Raw genomic sequence first — 13,352 nt, forward strand, 5'->3', positions numbered from 1 at the left:
TTCGGTTGTGGTGAGGGGTGAATGATTTGGCACACAGGAGGGGCTTGTTAACATTAGCTGTGATGATCTCCTTCCAAATCTTCATTTTCAGAGCCACAGATGAGGCCATAGTGCAACCAGGTGACCTTAGAGTGTAAGTACACATGATCGCCAGCTATGCTCTATCTCCACCATAGGTCCAAGACTGGGTAGTTCTGGCCTGGAGGCTTCTGCTGCATCTGCCTTCTCAGTGTTCACCTAAGGACTTTTGTATTTTCCTCCTCACATCCCCACAGAAGGGGTTCAGGCTGCCGAACACAGCTGGGTGATGCCAGGGCAGTGGCCACCTGTGCCAGCCCTGTGAGGTAGCTGGAGGATCATTGCTCCTTCCTTCTCAGGCTCTGGGCAGATGCCAGGGCTGGGGTGACCCATGCCCTCAAGTTTCTTGCTTTGGAGGGCCACATTTTCCCTTGGCAAAGAGGGTAAAGGTCACAGGATGCCGGAGAGCTGTGACTTCTCTGTGCCCTGGGCCCAAACTATGAAGACCTGACACACTATGCTAAAAGTCCAAGGCTGGGTGCTCCCCAGAGCTTCTTGCCTCACCACTTCTGCTGAGGGAGGAATGAATACTATGTCCTCCCAGAGCTTTGGGAGCTTGTAGCAAGCAGCCTCCCCAGCGCAAAATCTCTTGGAAACCTCTAACTGTGTCGGAAACATTAGTGCAAATGTTGCATCCTATTTCCCATATGTCCGCATGTTTTAGGAAAAAACCCTCAATTTCCTAAATATGCAAGAAAAATTGGTATTGTAGGACAATGTGACTTTTTAAAAAATGTTATTTAAACATCTTCCCCACCTCCTTTTCTGCCCTCCAAGACTGCCAAATACTTGTTGAACAAATATTATTAAATGCCTACTACGTGCCAGCCATGATTCATGGTCTTGGGGACACAGCAGAGAACGAACTGACAGGATTCCTCTCTTATGTAACTCACATTCTTATATGATAATGATAAGGGTTAACATTAATTAAGCTGTCACTACGTGTTAGTCACGGTGCAGTCATTCCCACACATTATTACACTTAAACCTGCTAGCAAGCTTGCAAGGTAGTTAGTTGTTTTTCCTTTAAAAACTGAGTCTCAGAATGATGAAGCACTTTGTCCAATGTCACACAGCTAGTAAGTGTGGAGACCTTGCATCCAATCAATGCCCGTCTCATTCTAAACACCACGTTATGTGTTCTCCAGCCCATGGAGAATAATTTTAACACAGTCAATGAAATTTCTACACAACAATGTTCTTGTCTCAAGTCCAAGAAAGCCATAATACTGGCTTTCTGGTGAGTAAAGATGCCATTCTCATGTGTAATCAGGTGGCAAATGGAGATATGACCAAAGTAACCCTTTGCCTACACTCATAACCCTGTACACACTCTTCCTGTGTCGATTCAATTCAAGTACCCCTTTTGATCACTTAGCAAATCTGACCTTTAAAAGGGTTAAGGTTTTTATATCCATGTAAGTTTCTGTATTGCTTTGGAAGTCTCTGGTTAAATGAACACCCTTTTTAATAGTGACCTGTGATTCTGTTTTGATCAAGTGTTTTCAAACTTGACATCTTTGATGGGTTTCTCCAGTGTCAAAATCCTAAATCAGGTCTTTTTGGCTTAAAATTAACTTTGGGATTTTTCCACTGCGTCCCTTCGGGAGTCTGAAGAATGCATCTCTCATCTTGTAGAGATATTAAGTGATTCGATTTATTTGGTAGATTATATGGGCGGGCATTGTCAAATGTGGTGATACTGCATGGGAGGGCACTGTCAAGTGAGGTGACATTAGATCTCATCTCAGTTATATTTATGGGTATGTTGTTGATATACATGTTCCAAAAATTACATACATTTATACAAATTTAATATGTTATGATTTGTAATTTTGATAGTTATACTAAATATTTGTTAAAGTTATATTTGTATAAACATGTTATGAATGGCTGGGCACCGTCACTCATGCCTGTAATCCCAGCACTTTCGGAGACAAAGGCAGGTGGATCACCTGAGGTTGGGAGTTCGAGACCAGCCTGACTAATAGGGTGAAACCCTGTCTCCACTAAAAATACAAAAATTCGCCATGCCTGGTGGCACATGCCTGTAGTCTCAGCTACTCGGGAGGCTGAGACAGGAAAATTGCTTGAACACAGGAGGCGGAGGATGCAGTGAGTCGAGATCATGCCACTGCACTCCCACCTGGGCAACAGAGGTAGAATCTATCTAAAAAAAAAGTTATTAATTATTTCTGAAGATTATATGAAATTTATAAAAGTCTGGTGGTCCTGATGTGATGCTGTCAGTCATGATTCTGATTACTGTCTTAAAATGCTGCACATAAGTAATTAAATTTCCTTGTGAACTGGGAAGTTTCATCAGACTTTTATCATAACTATTGTTTCCATCATCCACAGTTACTGTTTTGAATTCTTCTCTAAAAATATTTGTAATTGGCAATAGTCCAAATTTTCTTTTGTTTTCTTTCTTGTTTTTGAGACACAGTCTGGCTCTGTCGCTTAAGCTGGAGTGCAATGGTGGGATCTTGGCTCACTGCAAGCTCTGCCTCCTGGGTTCACGCCATTCTCCTGCCTCAGCCTCCCAAGTAGCTGGGACTACAGGTGCCTGCCACCACGCCCAGCTAATTTTTTGTATTTTTAGTAGAGACGGGGTTTCACTGTGTTAGCCAGGATGGTCTCAATCTCCTGACCTCGTGCTCTGCCCGCCTCGGCCTCCCAAAGTGCTGGGATTACAGATGTGAGCCACCGCGCCCAGCTTAATTTTTGCATTTTTAGTACAGAGGAGGTTTCACCATGTTGGCCAGGATGGTCTCGATCTACTGACCTTGTAATCTGCCTGCCTCGGCCTCCCAAAGTGCTGGGATTACAGGCATGAGCCACTGCAACTGAATTTTTTTTTGTTTGTTTGTTTGAGACAGAGACTCACTCTGTCACCCAGGCTGGAGTGCAGTGGCATGATTTTGGCTCACTGCAACCTCCACCTCCTGAGTTCAAACAATTATCCTGCCTCGTCCTTCGGAGTACCTGGGATTACAGGTGAGTGCCACCGTGCCTGGCTCATTTTTGTATTTTTACTAGAGACAGCGTTTCATCATGTTGGCCAGGCTGGTCTCAAATCCTGGCCTCAACTGATCCACTCTCATTGGCCTTCCAAGGTGCTGGGATTATAGGCATGAGACACCACACCTGGCTCAGTAAGTACATTTTTTATTATCAAAAAAGAGTAGTGTATGATTGGCTTATTCTGTGTAGAATGTATTTTATCGATGGCTTCTATTTTTATAATTTCTGAGTTAAGTAATTTTTAATGAATGCTTTTTAGTTTGGGGCAGATTCAGTTGACTAAAGCACCTCATTTCCCAGATACATGAAATAAAATATTTGGCTTCTTTTCCAATTTCACACTGATGTTATTTTGTGAAAATCAGTGCTTTAAGATAAATCTTTATACTTTAAGGTAAACATGAGAAACTTGATCTAATATTTAATATTTATTCAGTTCTACACTTTATTAACTTCTACACCAGCAGATTTAAAAATTATGTAACTATCTCAAGAAGTTTCACTTGGGTGTAACGGTTCACGCTTGTAATCCCAGCACTTTGGGAGGCTGAGGTGGGAGGATTGCTTAAGACAAGGAGTTTGAGACCAGCTTGGGCAATACAGCAAGATCCCATCTCTATTTTAAAGAAAAGTTTCACTTTGGGAGGCCAAGGCAGGCGGATCACAAGGTCAGGAGATCGAGACCATCCTGGCTAACATGGCAAAACCCCATCTCTACTAAAAATACAAAAAATTAGCCAGGCGTGGTGGTGGGCACCTGTAGTTCCAGCTACTCGGGAGGCTGAGGAAGAAGAATAGCGTGAACCCAGGAGGCAGAGTTTGCAGTGAGCTGAGATTGTGCCACTGCACTCCAGCCTGGGCGACAGAGCGAGACTCCGTCTCAAAAAAAAAAAAAAAAAGTTTCAGCAAATTCCACCTAAGAATTCCACCAGAGTTCTGTTGTCTCCAATGTCATGTTCCACAGATTTCAAGTTGTGAAGCCCTGAACTGTTAATTTATCTTGAGAATGTACATTTAAGCTTAATTTAAGACTATATACCTAAAAATTGAGCATATAATTTGTATAATTTGTTTATGTAAGTTTTTGTAAGTCATAAGTATGTAGTTTCCAAGTATATAATTTATCTGAATGTAATAGGCATTAATATATTTTACATTATTGGGACCATAATACAGAAATTTCTAAATGGTTTGTAAAATAACTTGTTATTTGCAATGTTGTAAAAGTAGTTAATACAATGGAAAAACTCATAATAAGAAGATACATTTTAACATCAAGAAGTTTACCCAAGGTAATTATGAATACTACCTGGCAAACTTTACAGAAGCTGTGGTATCACTTTTATGATAGAAGAATAGTGTTTGCATTTTGTGTAAAAGTACTTGGGGCTGGGAGTAGTGGCTCATGTCTATAATCCCAGTGCTTTGGGAGGTGAAGGCAGGTGGATCATCTGAGCCCAGGAGTTTGAGACCAGCCTAGGCAACATGGCAAGAGCCTGTCTCTCCAAAACCTATGAAAATTAGCCAAGCATGGTGGTGTGAGCCTGTAGTCCCAGCTACTTGGGAGACTCATGCAGGAGGATCTCTTGAGCCCAAGAGGCAGAAGATGAATAAATAAATGGATGCCACTGAATGAGATGAGGTCTCTCTTGAAGGAGAGAGAAAAAGAGATTTAAATAGTAACAATTATAATAAGGCTGGGCGCGGTGGCTCACGCTTGTAATCCCAGAACTTTGGGAGGCCAAGGCAGGAGGATCGGTTGAGGTCACGAGTTTAAGACCAGCATGGCCAACACGGTGAAACAATGTCTCTATTAAAAATAGAAAATTAGCCAGACATGGTAGTGCGTTGCCTGTGGTCTCAGCTACTCAGGTGGCTGAGACAGGAGAATCGCTTGAACCTGGGAGGAATAGGTTGTAGTGAGCCGATAAATATAAAAAGTATTAGAGTCCTAACAGAGGAAAGTTTCCACTGATCACCTTTTAGCTTTGAACAATGCAGAAGCATTTGCCCAGTTTACTTGTAATTAAAAATCATGCATCATTCACAATTTATCAGTCTTTTTTGTTTGTACAAAAACTAATATAAGTTATTCTCTTTTGTCTGTATTGTGACTGGTTTGGTGAGAGGGAATTAGGCCACTCGAGAGTTTGTGTGTGTTTAAAATTTTCTGGCCAGGCACGGTGGCTCATGCCTGTAATCCCAGCACATTCGGAGGCTGAGGCAGGGGTATCACCTGAGGTCAGGAGTTCTAGACCAGCCTGACCAACATGGAGAAACCCCCATCTCTACTAAAAATACAAAATTAGCTGGGCGTGGTGGTACGTGCCTGTAATCCCAGCTACTCGGGAGGCTGAGGCAGGAGAATTGCTTGAACCTGGGAGGCGGAGGTTGTGGTGAGTTGAGATCACGCCATTGCACTCCAGCCTGGGCAATAAGAGTGAAACTCTGTCTCAAATAAATAAATAAATAAATACATAAACTATCACAGCATAAAGTAGGAGGGATATTTCATTACTGTCTAGTTAAACTGGTTAATGCGGAAAGGAAGTCTGGAAATTCCAGTTTTAAAGTAAAATTTTGGACATTGTAGGATTGATTATTTGGCATAGCTGTGATGTTTGTTGCTGCATTATGGTTTTGTTGGCAGGGCAGCCTTTAAGGACCTGTATATTTTCTTCTAGACTCTATATATTCCCCGTCAGTATTAGTTGCATGGTCAAACTGGCAAATTTTACCATAGGTATAAATAATAGAGAATGTGGAAGAATAGTGAATAGTGTCAGAGATAGTTAAAGGTCCATACAGAAGTAGAGAAGGTAATAAGTAATAGTGGCTTGGACTAAATATTTGTTGAATAAATTTTTTAAAAAACAGCCTACCTAAAATTTGTGTTGAAGATATGAATGAATGAAGTTTCCGCACCCTTATGTGGAGCCCTGATAAGTAAGCAAAAATAAGGAAGGGTCCCCAGGTTGGGGAGAGCCCCAAGTTGAGGAGAATAATGAACAATTATTGTATGAACAATTGTTAGAGACAGCTAATCACAAACAACCTGTGGGTACAATGACCTCATTCCACATGTAGCACCCTTAAGCATGACCCTGTAAAACTTTCCTCCAGCCCTTGCCTCTTTGCAGGTAGCTCCTTCTCTGCTGAGCTGCCCACTGCAACATATTTTCATAATTTCTCTAATAAATCTGCCTTTCTTTACCTACAACTATCTTGGTAAATAGCTTTACCACCTGCAAAACTGACCCTAGTTAGTTGCTACCCGATATGGTTTGGCTGCGCCCCCACCCAAATTTCATCTTGAATTGTAGCTCCCATCATCCCCATGTGTCGTGGGAGGGACCTGGTAGGAGGTAATGGAATCATGGGGGCAGGTTTTTCCCATACTGTTCTCGTGATAGGGAATACATCTCACTAAATCTGGTGGTTTTATAAAGGGCAGTTTCCCTGCACATGCTCTCTTACCTGCTGCCATGTAAGACGTACCTTTGCTCCTTCTTTGCCTTCCACCATGATTCTGAGGCCTCCCCAGCCTTGTGGAACTGTGAGTACATTAAACCTCTTTTTCTTTATAAATTACCCAGTCTCAAGTATTTCTTCATAGCAGTATGAAAAGTAACTAATACACTACCCGAGACACCTTAGGAGATTTGTAACAGCTGTAATGCCAGGTCCACCATATTTTTAGCATAAAGCAAATGTTTACCCATGATATGACTGCACAGGCTTTCAGCTGGAGCCATAGCAACTCAAGTAGTAACCCTATCTTAGTCTGATTAAAAGTAAATATTAGTCTGGGCATGGTGGGACATGCCTGTAATCCCAGTACTTTGGGAGGCTGAGACAGAAGGATTGCTTGAGCCCAGGAGTTTGAGACCAGCCTGGGTAACATGGAAAAACACAGTCTCTACAAAAAATACAAAAATTAGCTGAGCGTGGTGGCACACACCTGTAGTCCCAGCACCTTGGGAGGCTGAGGCAGGAGTATCTCTTGAACCCAGGAGGTGGAGGCCGCAGTGAGCAGTGATCATGTCAGAGGCATGTGAACCAGAGCAACTCCATCTTAAATAGGAGCTGGGAAAAATGAGGCTGAAACTACTGGGCTGCATTCCCTGATGGTTAAGGCATTCTAAGTCACAGGATGACATAGAAGGTCAGCACAAAATACCAGTCATAAAGACCTTGCTGATAAAACAGGTTGCAGTGAAGGAGCTGGCCAAAACCCACCAAAACCAAAATAGTGACAAGAGTGACCTCCCGTCATCCTCACTGCTACACTCCTACCAGCACCATGACAGTTTACAAATGCCATGGCAACATCAAGAAGTTACCCTATATGGTCTAAAAAGAGGAGGCATGAAAAATCCACCCCTTGTTTAGCATATCATCAAGAAATAACCATAAAAATGGGCAACCAGCAGCCCTCCTGGCTGCTCTGTCTGTGGAGTAGCCATTCTTTTATTCCTTTACTTTCTTTTTTTTTTTTTTTTTTGAGATGGAGTCTCCCTCTGTCACCCAGGCTGGAATGCAGTGGCGTGATCTCGGCTCACTGCAAGCTTCACCTCCCGGGTTCACGCCATTCTCCTGCCTCAGCCTCCAGAGTAGCTGGGACTACAGGCGCCCGCCACCACACCTGGCTAATCTTTTTGTATTTTTAGTAGAGACGGGGTTTCACTGTGTTAACAAGGATGGTCTTGATCTCCTGACCTCGTGATCCACCTGTCTCAGCCTCCCAAAGTGCTGGGGTTACAGGCGTGAGCCACCGTGCCCCTCCTCCTTTACTTTTTTAATAAACTTGCTTTCACTTCACACTGCAGGATCACCCTGAATTCTTTCTTGCACAAGATCCAAGAACCTTCTCTTGGGGTCTGGATTGGGACCCCTTTCCTGTAACTATCATGCCACTGCACTCCAGCCTGGGCAACAGAGCAAGGCCCTGTCTCAAAACAAAAAAAACTAATATGACTTAATACATTCATTTTGGAGGGCAAGTCTCTCAAAATGGGCCTTTCACTGGGGGAAAATGGTAAAAATACTCCCTGGTAATTCAAGAATTGCAGACTCCTGAGATGCTGCTCATATTAGCTGAACACTTACCAATACTTCACTTTTTTCCATATATACTCAAGGAACAAGTGCTATTTAAAGTGTTTCACTCTGCTGTGCTAGGTGCAAGACTATAAAGAGGTGTGAGGATCAACACTTTTATGAAAACCAACGTCATTCTGAATGTAGTTTCAGATGCTAGTGCAAAGGAAGTTCTTGGTATACGGAAAAAGTATTCAACAATAAATTAGGCATGGTTGCTTCCATTTTCTGCCTCACACACTTTTTTTTCGTGGTTAAAGTGATAAAACGTCTATGATATTTTAGATTGGCAGTTGCAAACTAGTGGTCCTCAGCGGGTTTTTTATGACACCTACAAGGTTTGAAGACTTTGATTTCATATTAAAAATCTGGGTTTCAGTCTGGGTGTGGTGCTGCACTTCTGTAATCCCAGCACTTTGGGAGGCTAAGGTGGGTGGATCACCTGAGGTCAGGAGTTCGAGACCAGCCTGGCCAACATGATGAAACTCTGTCTCTACTAAAAATACAAAAATTAGCCAGGCATGGTGGCATGTGCCTGTAATCCCAGCTACTCAGGAGGCTGAGGCAGGAGAATTGCTTGAACCAGGGAGGTGGAGGTTGCAGTGAGCCAAGATCGCACCACTGCACTCAAGCTTAGGCAATAGAGCAAGACTCCATCTCAAAAAATGAATAAATAAATAAATAAAATCTGGGTTTCAGGCCAGCTGTGGTGGTGCACTCCTGCAATCCCAGCACTTTGGGAGGCTGAGATGGGCAGACAGCTTGAGGTCAGGAATTCCAGACTAGCCTGGGCAACATGGCGAAACCCCATGTCTACAAATAATACAAAAAAATTAGCTGGGTGTAGTGGAGTGTGCCTGTAATCTCAGCAACTTGGGAGGCTGAAGTGAGAGGATTGCTTGAGCCTGGGAGGTTGAGGTTACAGTGAGCCAAGATCGCACTCCTACACTCCAACCTGGGCAACAGAGTCAGAACTACTCTTAAAAAAAAAAAAAAAAAAAAAAAAAAAAAAATTCTGGGTTTCTGGCATCTCAAAAAAAAAAAAAAAAAGGAAAGGTCAGGGCAGCTACAGTCCTCTATTAAGCAATGTGCCACAGCAGGGGTCCCTAATTCCTGGGCCATGGACCTGTACTGGTCTGTGGCCTGTTAGGAACTGGGCCACAGAGCAGGAGGTGAATGGTGGGTAACAACTGAAGCTTCGTCTGTATTTCTGGCCGCTCCCCATTGTTTGCATTGCTGCCTGAGCTCTGCCTCCTGTCAGATCAGCAGCATCATTAGATTCTTACAGGAGCATGAACCCTGTTGTGAATTGCACACACGAGGGATCCAGGTTGCATATTCCTTATGAGAATCTAATTCCTGATGATTTGTGGTGGAACAGTTTCATCCCAAGACCATTAGCATCCTGTGCCCCATCCCTTGCCGCCTGTGGAAAAATTGTCTTCCGCAAAGCCAGTCCCTGGTGCCAAAAATGTTGGGGACTGCTGTGCTTTAGAATCTGCCTGGAATCTGCAGCCTCTATTATATAGTTCCCTATAGACTTTGCTTCCTACCATCTTACATTCTGCCTTATAGGCATTTGTGTTTGCAACTCTTGCTTTTGTCAGTATGCTACGCTGGTGACATTGACCAAATTGACCACACATTAATTATAAGCTTAGTTGGTGATGACCTCAATGGAATAACATGACATAAGTATTGTGACACTACTTCTTGCATGTATCTGCAGGTGGAATTGTAAACCTGGTGGTCCGAGATGGTCTAATTCGATCTTCCTATGTATCTCCTTATATTAATAGTGGTAACATTTGTGGTGGTGATTCAGCGTTTCAATGCCTCTTCTCATGGCAACAACAAACGTTTTCCGTCTGAATCAACATTAACCTAGATGTTACTGCGGATCAGAATTAGACTCTACATTTTCAACCACAGAAATATTGGGCAGTAAACATTTTTCTTAATATTGATTGCCTACATAGGTTGTGTAATTAGCATATGTTTATAGTTCTATGATTTGTGCATGGCTGCTGCAGAGCTGGAGGGGGTAAAGCAACAGTGTTTTCTCAGTTGTGCGAGCAGCATTACATTATAATGAATAGGTAATATTAAACTGGGCTGATAAGAGTTGCAAAAGACTACTTTAATGTTCATATGGAACCAAAAAAGAGCCCGCATTGCCAAGACAATCCTAAGCCCAAAGAACAAAGCTGGAGGCATCATGCTACCTGACTTCAAACTATACTACAAGGCTACAGTAACCAAAACAGCATGGTACTGGTACCAAAACAGACATATAGACCAATGGAACAGAACAGAGCCCTCAGAAATAATACCACACATCTACAACTATCTGATCTTTGACAAACCTGACAAAAACAAGAAATGGGGAAAGGATTCCCTATTTAATAGATGGTGCTGGGAAAACTGGCTAGCCATATGTAGAAAGCTGAAACTGGATCCCTTCCTTACATCTTATACAAAAATTAATTCAAGATGGATTAAAGACTTAAATGTTAGACCTAAAACCATAAAAACCCTAGAAGAAAACCTAGGCAATACCATTCAGGACATAGGCATGGGCAAGGACTTCATGTCTAAAACACCAAAAGCAATGGCAACAAAAGCCAAAACTGACAAATGGGATCTAATTAAACTAAAGAGCTTCTGCACAGCAAAAGAAACTACCATCAGAGTGAACAGGCAACATACAGAATGGGAGAAAACTTTCATAATCTACCCATCTGACAAAGGGCTAATATCCAGAATCTACAAAGAACTTAAACAAATTTACAAGAAAAAATCAAACAACCCCATCAAAAAGTGGGCAAAGGATATGAACAGACACTTCTCAAAAGAAGACATTTATGCAGCCAACAGACACGTGAAAAAAATGCTCATCATCACTGGCCATCAGAGAAATGCAAATCAAAACCACAATGAGATACCATCTCATGCCAGTTAGAATGGCAATCATTAAAAAGTCAGGAAACAACAGGTGCTGGAGAGGATGTGGAGAAATAGGAACACTTTTACACTGTTGATGGGACTGTAAACTAGTTCAACCATTGTGGAAGACAGTGTGGCGATTCCTCAAGGATCTAGAACTAGAAATACCATTTGACCCAGCCATCCTATTGCTGGGTATATACCCAAAGGATTATAAATCATGCCGCTATAAAGACACATGCACACATATGTTTATTGCGGCACTATTCACAATAGCAAAGACTTGGAACCAACCCAAATGTCCATCAATGATAGACTGGATTAAGAAAACGTGGCAATTATACACCATGGAATACTACGCAGCCATAAAAACGGATGAGTTCATGTCCTTTGTAGGAACATGGATGAAGCTGGAAACCATCATTCTGAGCAAACTATCATCAGGACAGAAAATCAAACACCGCATGTTCTCACTCATAGGTGGGAATTGAACAAAGAGAACACCTGGACACAGGGCGGGGAACATCACACCCTGGGGCCTGTCATGGGGTGGGGGAAGCGGGGAGGGATAGCATTAGGAGATATACCTGATGTAAATGACGAGTTAATGGGTGCAGCACACCAACATGGCACATGTATACATATGTAACAAACCTGCACGTTGTGCACATGTACCCTAGAACTTAAAGTGTAATAAAAATAAATAAATAAATAGGGCTGATGAATCATATTACAGTAATCCAATATTTCCCTTGTAAAGTCCCTGAGGTTTACAGAAGGAAATCTTTTCTAATAACAAAAAGAGTGAGGCATGTGCTTTGGTCTTTATTTCCTAGTTATACGATCCTGGGTAAGGAGCTCAACTTTTCTCTGCCAAAATTAAATGAGGATTAAATGAGATCATATATGTGAAGTTGTGAAAGACAGTACCTGGCACATAGCAGGATCAATCAATGTTAGTATCTCTAAAATAGAGATTGAGTCTGAAGATCCACAAAGTGGTAGAACCGATCTTAAGATTCCCAAATAATAGAATTGTGCTTTATTTGCCTAAGTAGTATGGTATTACTTATTGTATGCCCAGGGGATCTTTTTTTTTTAAATAATATTTATTTATTTATTTTGAGACAGAGTCTCACTCTGTCCCCCAAGCTGGAGTGCAGTGGCACCATTTTGGCTCACTGCAACCTCTACCTACCCAGTTCAAGCAATTCTCCTGCCTCAGCCTCCGGAGTAGCTGGGATTACAGGTGCACACCACCATGCCCGGCTGATTTTTGTATATTTAGTAGAGACAGGGTTTTGCCATGTTGGCCAGATTGGTCTTAAACTCCTGACCTCAGGTGATCCAGCTCCCTCAGCCTGCCACAGTGCTGGGATTACAGGTGTAAGCCACCGCACCCAGACCTAATGTTTTATTTTTTGGTAGAGATGAGGTCTTACTATGTGGCCCAGGCTGGTCTTGAATTCCTGGACCTAAGTGATCCTCCCACCTTGACCTCCCAAATTGTTGGGATTACAGGCATGAGCCACCGCGCCCAGTTCCCTTCTTAAATAGTTTTAAGGGGGAGAAGAAAGAAAAAGACTGATTTTCTTCCCTTCCACTACCAAAACAGGCAAAACACACCAGAACACTTTGCTTAGCATTTCTTTTCTTTTCTTTTTTTGAGAAAGAGTCTCCCTCTGTCAGCCAGGGTGGAGTGCAGTGGGGCGATCTTGGCTCACTTCAAGCTCCACCTCCTGGGTTCAGGCCATTCTCCTGCCTCAGCCTCCCGAGTAGCTGGGACTACAGGTGCCCGCCACCACGCCCGGCTAATTTTTTGTATTTTTAGTAGAGACGGGATTTCACCGTGTTAGCCAGGATGGTCTGGATCTCCTGACCTCGTGATCCGCCCGCCTTGGCCTCCCAAAGTGCTGGTATTACAGGCGTGAGCCACCGTGCCTGGCCGTCCCATCATTTTTTAAGATAAATTCACATACCATAAAACTTACCATTTTATTTTCTCTCTCTTTTCTCTTTCTTCCTTTCTTTCTTTCTTTTTTTTTTTTTTTTTTGCAGGCTGGAGTGCAGTGGCCCTATCGTGGCTCACTGCAACCTTGAATTCCTGGGCTCAAGAGATCCTCCCACCTCAGCCTCCCGAGTAGCAGTAGCTGAGACTATCAGTGCGCACCACCAAGCCTGAGTAATTACAATACTTT

Source organism: Homo sapiens, chromosome 16 (assembly GCF_000001405.40).
Source record: "Homo sapiens chromosome 16, GRCh38.p14 Primary Assembly".
Taxonomy (NCBI): Eukaryota; Metazoa; Chordata; class Mammalia; order Primates; family Hominidae; genus Homo; species Homo sapiens.